General features: G+C 35.3%; 1 protein-coding gene across 5 annotated transcripts in view, besides 1 other annotated feature; it reads left to right on the top strand.

Moving 5' to 3' along the window:
- The window catches only part of CHN1 (chimerin 1), a 206573-nt gene that overhangs the window by 125815 nt on the left and 61594 nt on the right, over positions 1-19164 (top strand). For 4 of the 5 annotated variants that reach the window (NM_001822.7, NM_001025201.4, NM_001371513.1 and 1 more), the window contains one exon: positions 1439-1727. The exons of the other annotated variant lie outside the window; for it this stretch is intronic. In NM_001822.7, coding sequence (NP_001813.1) covers positions 1439-1727 — 289 coding nt within the window. The remainder of the gene's footprint in view (positions 1-1438; positions 1728-19164) is intronic. 5 annotated transcript variants of the gene reach the window in all.
- Positions 712-1006: a silencer, noted in NCBI's record as "tiled region #13906; K562 Repressive non-DNase unmatched - State 23:Low". NCBI's record gives its function as "represses a minimal TATA promoter and a strong SV40 promoter by Sharpr-MPRA in K562 cells {active_cell/tissue: K562}" and the evidence as "EXISTENCE:reporter gene assay evidence [ECO:0000049][PMID:27701403]".

Below are 19164 nucleotides of genomic sequence, written 5' to 3'. Positions count from 1 at the left end.
CTAATTTTTTAGGCTTTATAATGAAAATATACTTGGGAGAAATGTGTCTTTAACATTAGAGGAAAATGGAGAACAAGAAAGTGTAATTATATGGATAGTTCACTTAAGTGTAAATCAAAATTTGATTGTTACTAAAGGATGGATAAATTATGCTTTAGAAGGGCCAACATGGATAGTACGTTGGATTCTAGATTAAATTGTTATTAAAGTCTAATTTGAACTACAGAAACAGACATCGTCTGGCTATTATTTTAAAAAATATTTTATTTCCTTTCCATACTTTATTTCCACATTAAGATGTTCCTAACTCCTATTCATTTGGAATATAACCTATACCAGAACAATTTTGTTATATAACAAGTTTATAGTCCCATTTAACGCTTTACTTAAACAGCGTTTATTTTAGTATTTTAGTTCATCCCTGTTCTGTTGTACTTTTAACAATGAAATTAAATATATCCTTTGTGACTTGTTTAGTTTTTAATTAGTCTCACTCGGGGTTACCTTCAGGAGACCATTACACTGGCAGCTCTTGTTGCCTTGTTGCCTTTTGACATCTGCTTTCATTAAAGTCAGTGCATTTTCTTGCCTGTGTCTTCCTGCAAGGACACTGATGTTAATCATGCCAAATTGGATCCATTTCTGAGGTCTGCTGCAGGAAGCAAAATACTGAAATTATCATAAAAGTAAACCATTATTCTTCAGTTGTTAGAGCACATCATCAGAACATAAAATTGAAAACAGAATTTCTATAGTCCAATAGCTTATGACTTTTGTGCCGTATGTATTTCAAACATTTCTTGCACAGACCTAACCAGCAGACAGAATAATGACTCTTTAAAAACGAAAGAATAAGTCCTTGGCCTGTGGCCAGAAGTAGCGAAAGTGTGTTTCTGTGCCATCCTGCCCTGCATGGCTCAGGTTTCTGGAGTCAGCTCTACTTTAAGTGATTGCTGGCATCATATTCTGGTTAGCCCTAAATGGAGCTTTCCTATTAAAATACATGACTGCTGAGGTCTAAAGTACATTGAATATTCTTATTGATCAACTTGAAGAAAAAATGTTAGTATAGAAATGTCATCTATTATGGAGTTGGCCAATTGAATATTGACTATGTTTTAATGTGGTGTGAGGTTTATTTTCTCCCATTTTTTCCACAGGTATAATAAAGTGGTTTAAAAAGATAAATAAAAAAAATTATTTCTATGGTAGGCATGCTTTTGACTAGTTGTCCCTAATTATTGCAAGCTCATTCTTTGTGTTCAAAGGTTTAATTTTATATATTCCAGACGATTCAGAGAGATTAGCCACAGCTTATTTAAACAAAGAAGACACACACAAAACAAAGCGATAGTTTTTTTTTGTTTTTGTTTTTTTTTCAGAAAGAATTCAGTTGCTTACTTTTCTTAAAAACATCTTTCCCATTTCATTGAGGCAGATTTGGAAGTCAAACCAGAAACTTCAGGCTCTACTACGATGGCAAGCACTTTGTTGGGGAGAAACGCTTTGAGTCCATCCACGATCTGGTGACTGATGGCTTGATTACTCTCTATATTGAAACCAAGGCAGCAGAATACATTGCCAAGATGACGATAAACCCAATTTATGAGCACGTAGGATACACAACCTTAAACAGAGAGCCAGCATACAAAAAACATATGCCAGTCCTGAAAGAGACACATGATGAGAGAGATTCTACAGGCCAGGATGGGGTGTCAGAGAAAAGGGTAAGCTACTATGAAACCACACTTTATCTTTTTCTGTTTGGGGTTCTTTTAAGAAAGCCATTATTGCCAGAAGAGATTGATTTATCCACAGTGCTTTGGAAAGTATATTCATTTTTCTTAATGTCTAGTTTCTGTGATGCTGAGCTTTGCATATAACTAATTCTTGTTCTATTAAAATATGTTAGGTAAATTTTTATATTCCTGGTTGTTTTCTGTTTTATCAGTTTCACAATTTTAAAACTATGTTGGAAAAATGGCCCCTAATAAAAAATAGTTCAGGGGATTGGTCAGAAGCATAACTCCTGGTCAAGAAAAGATAGCTACTATTACGTAAGTAATTGAGGGGGTTGCATTATCTCTCAAAATTACTTTTTTGTTTTCCTTAAAGATAATTTACTTTATAAATAGTTGTGTTCTTAGCAAGATTTTATGTGTGTGTGTATATTATGTGTGTGTGTATGTATACACACACATTTTGGGAGTCAGTCATTCTTGAATAGGAGGAGGATTTATCTCTTTATAATCTGTTAAGAAGTAATTGAATGAGTAAGATTCACTTTTACTTTTCCTTAATTATAAAAGACAATTAATTCTAAAAGACAATTTAAGTTTTTTAGCTGTCATATTTTAGTTGTGATATATTTCAGGTTAACATAAAAGTTTTAATTTCTTGGCATTAAGATTATTTTACTTTTGAAAATTGCCACCAGCCTCCTCCTCACCCCCAAGAAAAAAGTAAGAGATTTTCCTGATGTTTTATAGTGTGTGACATTTAGTTGGGGGCATTTTAGGTATTGTAATTGGAACTGTGTCAATTCATTTTTATGTTTTTAAGAATCTTCAATTGCTAAACCAAAGAAATGCAATAGGTCTTGAGCTCGGATTCTATGCAAGATTTGTGTGCAAGTTGTAATACCTAATTTGTCTGTGCTTTTGATTGTCTTATTTGTAAAATTGTAATAATGGTCAAATTGCTGTGAGGAGTGAGTGAGATAGCAAGCGTAAAATGCTCCATCAGCACTTGGCACATGTAGACACTCAATGTAGTTTGGTGGTAATGTTATTATATAGCAGCCATCTGACCTCAAGGCAGCATCCTCAAATAACTTCCCATTACCTTAGAGTATTTGGGTACAGAATGGAAATAAGAAAGTTTGTGTCCAGCTCAAATTTTAGTTTTTGGCAGATCTTACATTGGCATTTTGTTGCTACGGAGAAAACAACATTTAAAAGGATAAGCTGTAGAAAATGTATAAAAATTGTTTTTTTATATATTCATATTGTTAGGAACCACAAATCTTGTTTGGAAGTAGCCAGAACTTAAAATCCTTAATACCTGCTGTATTTAATATTCTTTTCATGGTCTAGTTCCCATTTTCTGACTATTGGTTGATTTTCCATTTATGGCATTTTTTAGTAATGCTTGTATTTGAATAATACTGACATTATATTCTTTGCAGATTTGCTAGAACATTCTAAGTCAGCATTTGTGAAATGTTTAAAAATGTGTACATGTGAGTCTTTCAAAATTGATCAGCCTAGTGAAAACCTTTGTTAATGCATTCTGAACGTGCTTTCCAACACCAAGGGACTTTAGCTAAAGACACTTAGCTGTTTAACATTAGGCAAGTCATTTGACTTCACCAGGCCTTGGTTGTCCCCCAGTCAAAGTGGAACTGATATTCACAGAGATAGTAAGCTGAGGTAGATACCTAGAACACCCTTGTAGCTCCAGGAGTCATGATTCCCTGTGTATTCTAGCAACTTTCTGTACTGAATTCCCTGGTCTTGTTTTGTGCTGGTGGACAGCGATAGCTACTGAGAGTGAAATTGCTGGCACTGGGAAGTATCTCTCTGCGGCAGTACATAATTAAGAATCATTTTTAAAATTACTCTTTGCTTTAAACCGCATGCATCTTAAATCTAGCTGGCTTAAAATCTACTCACTCAAAAATAGATTTATTTTATTTACAGGTGTCATCCAACAGGACAGGGTTGATGACCTGTTCAACAGCTTGAAACGTTGATTCCCTGTCACAATGGATGACATTTGTAAGTAAAGACAATCATGTTTAATTGATTTAAGGTATCTATTGACACTAGTATGGTTTAATAAATATTTAATGGGCCCTTAATAGCTAAAACCCCTCTTGTCTGTGAATTCTTTACCTCAGAGGCCAAAAGTGTTGGCTTTGCAGGAATTAGCATGCTGTTGTGGAAAGATACTAGTGTTGGAATTAAGAGCTATGTTCTAGTTCTACAAGAATGAATTTTATATGTCACTTTGGGCAAACTGCTTTACTTTTCTGAAACTGTATTTCCCTAGCTTTCTGGGAAGGCTTTGGACTAGGTGGTCTCCAAGATGTGGTTCTTCTAGTCTGTGATCCTTTAAGGAGTGTAGGTATTGTAGAAGAAGGACAACAATAGTACCAAAAGGAATACCTGATATGGTCCTGAGAAGTGAGGTCTGCTTTTAGTTTATTCACCAACTAATTGTATGACCTTGGGACAGTCATCTCACCTGTCTGGACTTCAGTTTCTTCATATGAGATAAGGCATTTTCTACAAAACAATAATTATACAGGATTTTAATAAATACTGCAGAAAGGGTTCTATGCTCAAATAGGTTTGATGAAAATTTAAGTTTTTTTAAAAGTTTGATCCTGGCCGGGCATGGTGGCTCACGCCTGTAATCCCAGCACATTGGGAGGCCAAGGTGGGGCGGATCACCTGAGGTCAGGCATTCAAGACCTGCCTGGCCAACATGGTGAAACCTCGTCTCTACTAAAAATACAAAAATTAGCCGGGCGTGGTGGCACTTGCTTGAAATCCCAGCTACTAGGAAGGCTGAGGCAGGAGAATCACCTGAACCCAGGAGGCGGAGGTTGCAATGAGCAGAAGTCGTGCCACTGCACACCAGCCTGGGCAACAAGAGTGAAACTTCGTCTCAAAAAAAAAAAAAAAAAAGAATAAATAAAAAATAAATAAAAGTCTGATCCTTTCTATAGGCCTTCTCTGCGTTATTCATGACTTAATATGATTATGACTCTATAAGAGTGCTCTCATACTTATTTGATCACCCTGCCATTATTAAGAACATTTTTGAAAAATAATGTTTCATGAAACCCACTTCGGGAAATTTTGAACCAGATAATTTCCTAAGGTCTTTCTTTGTTTTAAAATAGAAAGATGAGAATTCCAAGTGTTTTTATTTTTTTGTTGCAGTCCTAAAGGTGTAAGTTGTGCATCTGAGCTTTCGGGAAAGGCTTGGCAGGATGGTTTCATGGCCATGAAGGTTTTTACCATGAGGAGTGAATCCTGAAGATTCTTACTTGTCCCTAGGATCTGGTGTGAAAAATATTTTTTTTCCAAGTGATAGCTATGTCATTTTTCTCATTAACTATTTCAGTTGCTTCCTCAGCCTGAAATATCAATTGGAAAACACTGAAATAGATAAAAATATTTAATCATGAAATTGCAGCATCTTGAGAAGCCAGACTTTCTTCCCTTCTAAAATGGCTTAAGTTAGCAGTCCAGACTGGCCAAGAGCCCAACTTTTATTAGTTACTTCTTTCTATTTATCTTGGAACTGTATTTGAATAGTTTGGTATTCCAAGTAGTGAATACAATATGTTTATGTCAACAGATACTGGACCAATGGCTGAATGCAATAGTTTTAATGATAATTTTACACTTAATAATATAATTTCAATTTCCCCAAACCATACTTTCGAAATGTCTCACATAATTGTTAATAATATAAGCTATCAAACAAATGATATAATTTGCATTTCTGAAGCCATACTGTGAGCCAGATCTCTGAATCTAGGCAGGATGTCTTTACTTTGGGATTTTGTTATCTAAGATCTAAATCTGTCCCACATGTAAGGATGCCTGAGACATCAAGGGTGTACAAAATGAATTTTTTTATTTTATGGAACTTTGACACACTAAATAACCTATGTGTGTCTGTGTGTGTATTTTTTTTCTTCCCCTCTAAGCTTGGAATGAATGCAGTGCTTGGCACATTGTCATATTAATTTATTTTTAAGGAATTTCTTTAACATTTAAGTTCCATTTTTGAAGAATTCTTTTGGGATCTCCAGACTGTGTGTTGTATTGAAAAGCCTTGTGAAATTTTAAGTTGAAATGTAATTGGGTCCTTGCCCAAAACTGCCATAACTACTTGAATTCTTTGGATACCTCCACAGAATGATAGGAGTCTTTGTTCCCTGGAATAGCAAAAGGGGCATGGTCAGTCTGCTTTGTTAATTGGCTTAGTCTCTCACAAGGCAAGTCTTCTAAATGTTTTTACTTTGCTTCAAATATAGGCCATTACCTGTATCCATGTAATCTCAGTGTAGAAATCAGCAGTAAGGTGATACTTAATCACGAATAAAGGTAACAGTACCAGAGGAGTGCATGGCACAAAGAAGTTTGCAGAAAACTGTTGATTTCTTAATTTTGTGCCTTCCCAGTCTTTTGGGCCTTTTTTGTCATTCCTTGTTCATGCTCAAGCTATGCTTCTGTTTTTGTTCTTCTCCCTCTTAACCCTGCCTTTTAAAATCCACTTCTCGCTCTCCCCCAAGTTTACATGCCTAAGTCTCCAATGTGGCTTGTTCAAGGTTAAGATCAGTTGTTCTGGGATGAACAGGCTCTTAGAGATTGCCAGTTATGCCCAGGGTTACTGATTTGCATTAAAAAGCCAGTTTAGTAATTTATGAGGAAGACTACAATTTCTGCACAGAACTTCTCATAGTGTGTTTATCCTGTATAAACAGCCTCCTTAAGAAATCAAGTAAAGTCAAAAAAAAAAAAAGTATATATTAGTCTGTGTGGTCTTGAACAAGTCCTTAACCTCCTTAAGTCTCAAGTTGCCCCAGTCTCTAAAATGGGGATTATGGATACCATTACTCTGGTGAACAGGAGTATTGCAAAGATTTTGTAATGTGGCCTTCCTAGTAAATGTGAAGCATTGCATGAAGAATTATTGCTTTCTGGGATCAGAGTAGTCCCCAACCAGGTGCCCATTCCTGGGTCTTAGTACTGTCCCCCTAGCTTTTGCTAGGAATAGCATGTTCAGATTTCTCTTTAAGATCCATCTTTTGAGTGCTTGAACTGCTCTTTAAGTTCACAAGATTGTTATCTTGTGTTAGGAGCAAAGGGCTCCTAATTGCTTTATGAAGAAAGCAGTTTCTCTTTTAATAATATGGTGATAGCTCTATCTCTAATCAGGAAACGTATGCCTTTGTCCAATAATTCTCTAATGACTTTTAAGGCCAAAATATATTATTTTCCTGTGGTATTTGCATTTTAGTATCGAACAGTATTTTAACTCTCCTTTGCCTGAATGTAAGACAAGTCAAGCTTTCTGCTTCTATGCCTCTCAGTGAACTTTTATTAAACCTGCACTCCATCTTGAGCCCATTAAGATCTTTCAGATTTTCTGTAAGTCTGTTTAATATCTTTACATTTCATTTTCTAAATAGTCTTTCATGAGCCATCTACACAATTTCTTCTTGATATTCAGAAGTTATGTTGGATCCTTTTTTGTTTGAGGTGGGGTCTCACTTCATCACCCAGACAGGAGTGCATTGATGCAAACATGGCTCACTGCAGCCTTGACCTCCTGGGCTCAAGCGATCCTCCTGCCTTAGCCTCCCAAATAGCTGGGACTACAAGCTGTGCATTACCATACCTGGCTAATTTTTGTATTTTTTTGTAGAGATGAGGTTTCTCCATGTTGCCCAAGCTGGTCTCAAACTCTTGAGCTCAAGTGATCTACCCACCTCCGCCTCCTGAAGTGCTGGGATTACAGACGTGAGCCACAGTGCCTGGCCTTATGTTGGAATTTAAACAAGTTAAGAGCAAGGCAGGAATATTATCTCCATTTCTTCTTCAGTCTCCTGAACTAACTTATCTCCTATCAAAATTAATTGCACTTAATTCAGCATTTATTGTATGCCTCCCATTTGCAAGGAAACAGGCTAGGGTCTGGAGGAAATAAAAGATGTTGAAGATTTAAGCCCTGTCTCAAAGAACTTACATTTTAATGTTTCATTATTTCTCCCTATTTAATAACACTTAGGCATCTTGAAAGCAGGAGACAAGCTTCCTTTATCATCTGTATATTATCACAGGCATTAAATAAATACTAAGTTGGACTCACTTTGATTTGAGTTTGCCTTTATCATAGCCCAGCAGACCACAGAAAACACCTTTGTAGATGAGAAAACTGATTTTTCAGAATCACGAATAAGAAATTAATATGAGATTCTGGCATTCCACCGCAGTTTCAAGGCTTTTTTCCCCCAGTATTGTTTCATTTGTGACTCGACACCTTGAGTTTTATATGAACAGTTGTTGACTGACTACATAAATGACTTTTTAAAAATGAGTTCAGCCAAATCCAAGGTCCTAATGGAAATCACTCCTGAGACTGAGAAAGAAAAACAGTCATTCAGTTTGATTTGCTACTACGTATTTTTCCCTTAAAGAATTCAGAATCCTTAGAATATCCTTGGGAGGTGGAGAGGGTCATTCTTCATTCTATGGTTAAAGCATCAGAGGTAGAAAACAATTGTCTTTTGTGACATGAAATAGTTCGTGAGGGTGGTGGCTAGATGCTCCTCTTTAGGGCTATGTTCAAAGCAGCCAAGATGGTAAGTGACCAAGCTCATGGCCATCAATTTTGTGTTGGGACCATCTACACCTTACCAGAGAATCCCATGCTGTAATGATTAAAGAAAACTCAAATGGGGCCCAGGAAATTATTTGTGTGAATCTCATCCATCCTTCCATCTTATCACCCACAGAAAAGATCAGTAATTGAAGGCCATTAGGGAAAACCAGATGGAAAGAGGAAGATGGAAGATAAACATCAGTTCCCCAGTTCCAAAGAACCAGGCCAACAGAAGACCAAATTGTAATTTTCCAAGCCAGCTGCAGTTTTGGAAGGTTTCTGTATCTGGGCCAACTAAACAAATAAAATCACTTAAATTACTGATTTAAGGGTTAGAAAAGAAAGCTATTAGAAATTCTTTCACGATTGCTACTTCAAAGTCTTTATTTTGGTGAGGAAATAATCATTGATGTCAAAATCTTTATTCATCAAACTTTTCAAAAGGAATCAACTCTGGTAGCTTATAGAAGAGTAACACCATTTGGGGTACAAAGCAAGATGAGACTATCAAGCAGTTAATCTGGTCTTGGCCATGTTGCTCACACCCTAACTTTGCGGGCAGTTCTAAAAGAATCTGCTTTCCAGTTGTAAATCCTCACTTTAGACCACATACTCTGGATCTGTAATTTTCATCTTATGCGTTTTGCTCCATCGTATTTTCCTTTTTTATTTGGAATCATTTCTCCTTTCTCCTAGTATTTGCACCTCTCAGAGATTGGAAAACAATAGCCATGCCTCTGAGCCTTTACTTAAGTTATGAAAACACATGTTTTTAATATGGCCTCATAAATTAGTCCCTAACTCTTTGGGGGCCTCTTTCAAATTACTACAACTGGTCAAAAATGCTTAAACGTAGACATTATATTGCAGTAACGGGATTCTTTCAACAGGAAATTATAGGCAGCTATAATGGCTACTAATCTTATCCTTGTCTTTATGTCCCTTTTAAAGTATGCTGCATTATTTTCACTGTGGTTTGTCAGTAACTTGAAGGAATCAGCCTTATTATCCTTCATTTCGTTAGCTTCTAACACCATTCAGTGAACATTCACTAAATGCTGTAGGTTTGCTGATGGCTTCGTTTACATTCTTAAATTTTACATCTTATCCAGTGTAAACATTTTAGTTAATAATATCTACATTACTTCATCTTATACTTATTTACTAACAGTGTTTAGTGAAAGGTCATCTTTACTGTAAAATTTCCCTCCAAAAACAGGGGCTTTTATGCAAGCTGCAGATTGTTTAGCACCTTCTTAAGAGATTTTACACCCCTGTTCCTTTCACCCACTAAACAGGAAGGGATCTCTGTTCTGGGTATAGTTTGCTTATTAACTTTAGAATGGCTTTGGGCTGCTGCCTAAGTTCATAGTGAGAAAAAAGCTGTAGTCCTCATCCCTTGAGAAAGTTCTGTTTTTATTTATAATGTGGAAACTCTACAAATGAGCCCATGTCTCCATGTTTCCAAGAATTTTTAAAAAGATAACTTTTTAAGGTATAATTTACATACAGTAAAATGTGCACAGTTCCATGTACAGTTTGATGAGTTTTGACAACTGTATGCACCTGTATAACCAACCCTACAATCAATATATAGAAACTCCAGAAAATTCTCTCATGCCCTCTTGTAGAAAATCTTACCCCCACCCAGACCCCAGGATTTCTATTAGGACAAGAAAAATTTTAAATTGTTGACCTAACAGGTGACATCTTATTTTTAGTTTCTTATATTTGAAGTACTCCTTTCTTTGTTTTTCCTCTTTTTATTTATTATAAGCATATCATCTAATTATCTTTAATATCTACCTTCCTTAACTCCAATTTTGGAATGTAAACTTTCTCAGGTCATTTTTCTTAGGGAAATATGAGCAGCAAAGGAATTAGAGGTGTATAGTAGTGATTACAAGGCAGTGTAACTTGTTGAAGTTCAGTCGTATCATTAGGGAGTCTTCACCTTTTAATCAGTAATAAATGCTTCAGTAAATTTGAGTACACAACAAGGGAGGATTCCTGGGTGCAGGGAGAAGAGCCTCTGCTCTGTTGGGATCTTGGACCTGAGCCAGATTCACTCAGCCAGCCCTCCTTTAATCATTGACTATACCTTTGCTCTTCCTCTCTGGCCTGAACAGGTCCCCCAGCAGGTGATACTCATGATCACAGTTGATGGGAAAGTAGAGCATCCCCTGCTCTCTGAGTGTGAACTCTACCTCATGGTACCAGGTACCACAGTGAGAAAAACTATCATTTCTGCATTTCCCTCTCACAGTCTAACTCAAATGGGAAAATTATGGCAGTTGTATGATTTCAGAGTTTCCTATGGAACACCACTACAACATTTAGATTTCTCTCCTTATGCTCCTTGAAACTATGTAGGTGCAGCCCACTCAACTGTCCTGTAGAATGGAGTTCTCCTTTACCCATTCCCAGGTGAAGAATGACATTCTCTTGTGTAGCAGCCTCCCATGGGTGGATTGCGGGTTGTGTAAAATTCCTGGAGAAATGATTATAACTTTTCTCCTGTTGCCTTTAGGAAAACCTATTGGAATGTAATTGTTTGAGGAATGTTACTATAGGCAGAACCTTGACTTCATTCTAATTTCTTTTAAAAAGATTAAATTATTTGCATATTAGTTTAGTAACTGATTTCAATGCACGTTGACTGGAGTGGGCCCTCCAGTGATCTGGACTTGCTCTCTAAGGAAGCAGCCATTAGGGGCTCAGCAGTCTCTTCTTGTGACCTATCTTTAGAACTCTGCATGGTTTATTGGCCATATTCTAGAGGTGTAGTGTTTCTTAAGGCTGGGAGCACCGGGAATCTATTGCAGAGAGGAGGGTACCAGAGTACCAAAGTAGTAGAAAATTGTAGAAATATTTCATTTGCACTGACTAACTCATCATGTTATGCCAACATGTGTAGGTGATATTTGTGAGCAAGTCCAATTATATTATCTAAAACTGTTCTTAACTTTCAAAACAAATCATGTTGATATATCTAATTAATAAATTTAAGATATTTTTCCAAGTATTAAAGAAATACAAGCTCTTCATAAAAAATTAGAAAGATATGAAAAACAAAGAAAGAAGGAAGGGGCTTACTTATAGCTCCACCATTCAAAGCCAACTTTATGTTAACATTTTGATGAGTTTCCTTTTAGTCTGTCTTCCTACGCATAGATTAATGTACACTTTTATATTTTTATTTTAAGTAACCCATGTTCATTGCTTACACAAATAATAAAACTATGAGAAACAATAAGAATATAAAAATTAACCCAGGTCACACTATTGACAGATAATATAACTAATAATATTCTGCTGTTTGTCCTTCCAGAGTTGGGGGCAAGGAATGTTTCTTCTATATAAACTACTTTGTAATTTGCTTTATCGACCATTAGGCTATGAACAATCTTTCCATGTGAATGTATATATATATCTGCTTTATGTTTTAAATGTCTATATTATATTACTTTATAAGCAGGGAATTTAGCTAGTCCTTTAATTTTTTTATTCATTCATTCTTTCAATATTCATTATGTAATGAACAAGACCATCATGGCTCTGTTCATAAAGTTAATTTTTGTCATTCACACCCAGAATACAAAAAAAGAAACTTAAATATTATTTGCATCATTTTTAAAGATGAGGAAATTGGAGTAGAAAGAGAGAAACTCTTCTTGCCAGGACATTTTGTTATTTAGTGATTGGTAACCAGTACTCTTTTTCCCTATACTGTCTATGTTTAACAATAAATCTTCCTGAAGTAATCTTTTTTTTTTTTTGAGACAGAGTCTCGCTCTGTCACCTGTGCGGGAGTGCAGTTTGACACAATCTCGGCTCACTGCAACCTCCATCTCCCGAGTTCAGGTGATTCTCATGCCTCAAGCCTCCCGAATAGCTGGGACTATAGGCGTGCACCACCACGCTCAGCTAATTTTTTTGTATTTTTAGTAAAGATAGAGTTTCACCACGTTGCCCAGGCTGGTCTCCAACTCCTGAGTTCAACTGATCCGCCTGCCTTGGCCTCCCAAAGTGCTAGGATTACAGGCATGAGCCACTGCTCCTGGCCCTTAAGTAATCTTTAAAAAAAAAAAAAAAAATTAAGTAAAAAAAAGTTGTCATTTTAACAGTCTTTGTAAGTTTAGAATTTTGTTTAGTCTTGCAAAATGGCTTTTTCATTTGTTTCCAGAATATTTAATGCGCTAAAAAGCAGCATTTATTTATAAATAAGGATAACTAATAAAAATTTAAATTTATAAATTAATTTCTTTCGGAGATAATTAAAAACGTGCAAATTGTTTTTCTTGGAATAGTCTGTATCTTTAAAATTATAAAACTATATGAGAGAAACATTTTTCTGAATTTGCTGAATATAGAAAGTTTGTACTTTAGCTTCATATGTAATCATAGTCAAGCTTGTCTACACTTTAGAGTTGCCCAGTTCTAAATTCACAAAGTATTTTGAGAGGAAAGGATTTCCATAATTTCCATCTGCAGTGTGCATAGAAGGGCTTAGCTGAAATTGTTATTTAAACCAGAACTATTTTGCTATCTTGTGGCTATAGCATTCTAATTACCAAGTATTTCAATGTGAATAGTGAATTCCCTTTGTCACCTTACAGAAAAAACCCCCACAAAATGCCTTTCCCTAACTAATGAATATGAAAATGCTTTTTTTTGGAAGCAGTGTTACTGCAAGGGGATGGGTTTTTTCTGTGTTTTATTTTTAAAAATCATACAGACATTGATTATAAATGTTTTTAATATTACATCACTTTTGATTTTATACAAAAATATTTTAAACTTTTAAGCTCATTTATTTTTCTTTAGAAAAAGGTACTTAAACAGTAATGGATCTTTAATGTTTTATCTGGTGTTAAGATTCCTAAAAGAATTTCTATAGTCCTATATGCTAAGTGTTTGGTCATAGCTTGGAGTGATCCACAGTATCTGGTTCTTTTTCTGCTATTCTTTTCCTCCCTTAATTTCTTAACTTTTTGAGATTTGTTTTACATAAAGATCCACATTTACTCTTTAAATAGAAACACTTCAAAAGCAGCTTTATCACATGTTATGTCCTGTTTATCCAGCAATTCCCTCACACACAGAAAAATAACCAACTTTTTAATGGGGCATCTACTTTGAAGAAGAGATCTGGATCCTAGTCTGTCACTTTAGCTAATGATTTTTGCTTTGAGCATGTCTTAATAACCTCTCTGGGCCTCAATAGTAAAATGAAGGACTCAGCTTCATAGATGACCACAAGGTCCCTTCTAGCTGCCATAATTTTCTACCCATATGTTCTTTTTGTTAACCTTTAAGAGGTTTTTCCGATTAAAGATTCTGTACTTCTGACAACTTATTCCAAGAGGTAGAATAGGCTGAACACATACAGGTTTAAGTATAGACGTGAATACTTAAATCTGCTACTGACTAGGATTATAAATCTTTGAGCCAATCAAACCATTCCCTTTGGCCTTAGAACATTGAAAGTCTGTTCTAGCTCCCTACTATACATTTCTAAGGATTGTAAAGCTTAGAATTATAACAGAAATAACTAACATTTATTGAGCATGGTGTTTCAGAAGCTGTGCGAAGTACTTCACCAGGTTATCTCCTTTAATCTTTAATGCAGTCTTTTAGGGATAGGTATTAACATGGAGATCTTTGGGGGTGATAGGTTTATGGTGAATTATCAAGATATTCTAGGGGGCTGTCTTAATAGTGCATCCTCTATTTTTGGGAGTGACATCATAGAGGACAGCCAGACCCTTCCACACAATGCCCCTTAGTATCATTGTAGAGACTTAATGTTGGACTGAATAAAGACTAAGTAGATCACTATCTTTTAAGTAGTTAGTTTACCAAAAGGGAGTAGTACCTCTAGAGCTGCCCAAAGGAAGTTGAAGCATGGTTCAGATGGGCCATTAAAGAATGTCACTCTAGAATTGCAACTCTTATGTTCCGTTTTTTAAATAAACTCTTACCAAATGCTGAAGGAACGAAGATTCCAATTCATTGAATAAGAAAACCTATGATATCGAATTTTTAATGTAGAAAAATAAAATATCCTTTCTTAAAGTGTAGCTTAGTTCTCTCTTAGTTGCTTATGTCAAATGCTGTCCTCTCTTCATGAAGTATCACACAGATGTACAAATTCAAATAATCTTGTTCCTTTCATAGGAACAACAACAATAAATAAATAAAGGATTTAGACTTAGTGGTTGTGTAAATTACACATAAGATTGCACTAATTCAACAAGTGCATTTTATTTTATTTTTATTTATTTATTTAGAGACAGGGTCTCCATCTGTCAACCCAGGCTGGACTACAGTAGTGCGACCTTGGCTCACTGTAGCCTCAATAACTCCTGGACTAAAGCAATCCTCCTACCTGAGCCTCTGAAGTACTGGTACTACAGGCATGCACCACCATGCCTAGCTAATTTTTTTGTAGCGATGGGGTTTTGCCATAGTGCCCAGGCTGGTCTCGAACTTCTGGGCTCAAGCAGTCTGCCCGCCTCAGCCTCCCAAAGTGCTGGGATTACAAGCATGAGCCACTGTGCCCAGCCAGAACATGTGAATTTTAAATAGCAGTATACTTAGTAGAATGAGATACAGGTAAATTTTTAAATAATTGAGCCATATTAAATGATTAACCTAATTTATTTGCATATTAATGAAATCTGATAACTAAGATTTATAATATAAGGCATATTGCATTTATTATATTTTAGATAAATCAGCATACATTTACGTCTTCAACAGTTGACTTAAACTCAGTTTGACAGTTTTAGGTTTTCATCATTTCAGTCTTCAAAGTGCTTATTAGCATTTCATTGTCAAAGTTGAAGCATCCCTAGCTCTTTGAAACTGACAAAAGACCTCTGAGTTGACAGTCACCTCCCAAATAAACAAGATTTTTAAGATAGTTGAAGTGCTTTCCAAATCAATACTCTAGAGTCTATATGTAACACTTACTGTAGAGAGTTTATTATTATTTAGAAGTTAAAAAAAAGAAAAAGAAAACAGAAGCAAACAAACAGAAACCCTCTCAGGTCTTTAACACAGTTTGTCAGTTTATCATTTTCTATGTTATCTCTCAGAAGAAGAGAAATCAGTAACACTGAAAGATTAGCATTTCATAACTATAAGAAAAAAATTAAAGATGGTCTTACTAATGCTAGTACTTATGAGAAATAAAATAAGTAGAATAAAACTTTAAATTTGGGGGAAGTTCTGAAACATGCAGTGATAAATAATTTTTTATTAAAGTGCTGACGATCAGTGTTCTCACCAATGAAGCTTTCTATAAAATTGAGATATCTGCAGAAATTTTGATTCAGTATAATCAACATGGAGCCTAAACATCTGTATTAATGTATTTATCTTTCTATCTACACATCTATATCACATGTGTGATTCTGTTGCTCAGTAAAAGTTACAACTGATAGATTAGATATGCGGTTCTGAAGCTTTTTGGAGTCAGGACCCCTTTACACTTTAAAAATTACTGCAGACTTTGAAGAGCTTTTGTTTATGTGGGTTATATCTGTTGATATTTACTATATTGGAAATTAAAATATATTTTATAAAATATCTTTAAGAAACAATAAAAATTACATGTTAACAATATTATTAAATAACCAATTTTTGAAACAAAAAAATTTAGAAGAGTAGCAGTGTTTTACATTTCTGTGAATCTCTTAAATGTATGGCTTAATTTTAAGGAAATGAAACTGGGTTCTCATAAATGCTTCTGTGTTCAGTCTGTGGTGATACCAAACTGGACAAGTAGTAATTTCTTAAAGGTTACTTGCAATGTGGAGTCTGAAACCTTATTAATAGCCATTTTTTACTCTGTTACACTGAAACCCATTGGTCTATTGAACTTCAAATGGATCTTTCAACTGTGCATGATTTTGAAACATCATGCATTGATCACTTGTAAAATATTGGTTCACTGAGTTACGTAGGTCTTCCAAATGTTGACATATTTTATACAATATCAAAAAGTCACATTTGTTAGTATCATCATTGATCTTACCAGATAACTCATTGAAGTAGTAGGAAGCTGTCAAGTTTAGGGTGGCAGATACAAATTTTCCAAAATTCTAATTTTACCTGAAAGTTTTAATTTTATCATTGACTGTCAGTTGTTTCCTTGAGGTAGCCAGAGCACTTCATTCATTTTATAGAAAATGCCAAACACCCAAGGCTGAACAACCAAAATTTGTTTTACTCATTCTTTCATGTAAAAAAATGGTACTTCTGTGGGGAAGAGTGCTAGCTCAGCTTACTACTAAAACAAAGAATACTTTTCCTCAAGACAACCATCTCTAAAGGGAACCCAGAAATACCTTTCATATCTTGTGATGTGAACCTAACTTTCTCTTTTGGAGAGGTTTTCAAATGTGGAAGTGTAAAACTCTAAATTTAATGTAAGCTACAGGAGAAGAGACAATGAAAACAAACAAAAAGCCTACAGTAACTAATTTAATATGCTATTGTTCATTAAAAACAGTATCATGGCCAGGCGCAGTGGCTCACGCCAGTAATCCCAGCACTTTGGGAGGCCGAGGCAGGTGGATCACGAGGTTAGGAGATTGAGACCATCCTGACCAACATGGTAAAACCCCATCTCTACTAAAAATACAAAAATTAGCTGGGTGTGGTGGCGTGTGCCTGCAGTCCCAGCTACTCGGGAAGCTGAGGCAGGAGAATTGCTTGAACCCGGGAGGCGGAGGTTGCAGTGAGCCAAGATTGCGCCACTGTACTCCAGCCTGGCGACAGAGCAAGACTCCGTCTCAAAAAAAAAAAAAAAGTATCGTTGGTATAACGTAATGTATTAAATTCTATACCTAGTATCTCAAAAACCCTGAAAAATGAAACCAACAAAGAAACATTATTCAACTGAGGACATGGTTTGATATTTTGGCAGTGAAAACAACAAAGGCATACCCTTTAAGAACCTTTCTACAGCTGATCCTGCAGGAGGAGATATTTTAGGCAAGTTTTTTTTAAAACAATATACTTCTTATTTTCATGTCTCTATTAGTAAGACATGCATTTTAAAATAATGAAAATAATTTTGTAATTTTATAGCAAGTTATGGGTTTGAGTTCATAGGAGGAAAAGTGATCAGACTTTAGGCTTACTAATGATAGATACTGCCTAAATTCCCTTTTCCTTCTAATATTTTCTTGGAATTTATTGCAGAGGGTTTTTATTTATCCAAAAATGTTCATGGCACTTTACATTATTCCTCCAGTAATAGTTGTTTTGGTCCTGCAGATTAGTTTAAACCACAGTGATTCAACAACCTGTGGAATAGAAAACTACAGTTCATGAATCCTAAACATCCTTCTTATTTCAGGTGGCACATGTTCTCTCAGCACAACAATTGTTTTCAATTCAATGTCTCCTTTAGTCAGCTATGTTGCTAAGATACCTATGTTATCAAAATTTTCTCTCTAACATGTTTTTAGTTCATATTCTGCATACATTTTGACTGCCAAATGAAGAAACAATATTTAAAATGCTATTCTTGTTAGCACCTCTGACCTGCCATTACTTTTTGAATAACCTAGATAAAAGACAAAACATTTATACATTTCTTTGTATTAAATCTATTCTGACAGTATAAGGGCAGGAGACTGAAATCATTCAGACAGGCACTCGTCTATGAGTCTGAAGAATTCAGAGAGGCTTACGAATGTGCCATGAATTTTGCTCATTCTTTTAACATTTATTTAGCATCTACTTTGTCCCAAGCCTTGTGTTAAGCTATAAGACTGATGCTAATGATGATAACAGTATCAATATCAGCATCACCACATAGTCTTTGAGAGTTTTGAGAGCTCTCTGCATGCTGGGTACTAAAAATATATGCCTTATGTATATTCCATACATTCTACCTATATTATCTCATCCTTCCAGTCCCCATGAAGTATAGGTACTATCTTCATTCCAGTTTTACAAATAAACTGAGACTTATCTAAGATCCCATAACTAGTAAATGGAGCTAAGATTCTTTTACAGCTAGTTTTTACTCAAGAGCCAAGCTTTTAACCACTTAACACTGAATTTTAAAAATTTTAAATTTTTAAATTTAAAACAATTTAATTTTTTAAATGCTTTATGGAAGGAGGGATTAGGCAGATTGAGGAGGAGAGTTTATAAACTGCAGCTCCCTGTCTGTATTATTTCTGATAAAAGGACCGTATGAGATGGTCACAAACTACCCTGTGGTTTGGACTTCAGAGGGCTTTAAAAGCACATCCATATTGGAAAGAGCGAGAAATCTGGGATGGAGAGAGGTGTAGAAGTCATCTGTGAGAGTGTCAGAAAGCCCATGAGGGGAGGGAGCAGTTTGGAAGGAGGGCATGGTCATAGATTTCACGGACAAATTCAACTTTTGTTAGAAAATGTGATTATGGGACAAAAATACGGTGCAAAAATACATTATTCATGCAGCACTTATCTCAATTACAATTTATTTATTAAATATGTATTTAATATTTGGTCCTTGTAAAATAGTATACCACCCTAGTCTCTGGTATGAAGCTACAGTTTCATTAGTGCCTAGCATATAATAGATACTCAATAAAATGTATGCTGAGTGAAAACTATTTATGAGCACTTAGTATTGTACATATATACTTTGAGCATTTCAGTAGTTTCATTAAATGAATTTGTGGGTTTTATGAAGTTTTTACACTTTGGCCATATGTCTAGCACCCAAAAATTTATTTTTTT

Source organism: Homo sapiens, chromosome 2, assembly GCF_000001405.40.
Source record: "Homo sapiens chromosome 2, GRCh38.p14 Primary Assembly".
NCBI lineage: Eukaryota > Metazoa > Chordata > Mammalia > Primates > Hominidae > Homo > Homo sapiens.
This window is presented reverse-complemented; position numbering and strand designations above follow the sequence as displayed.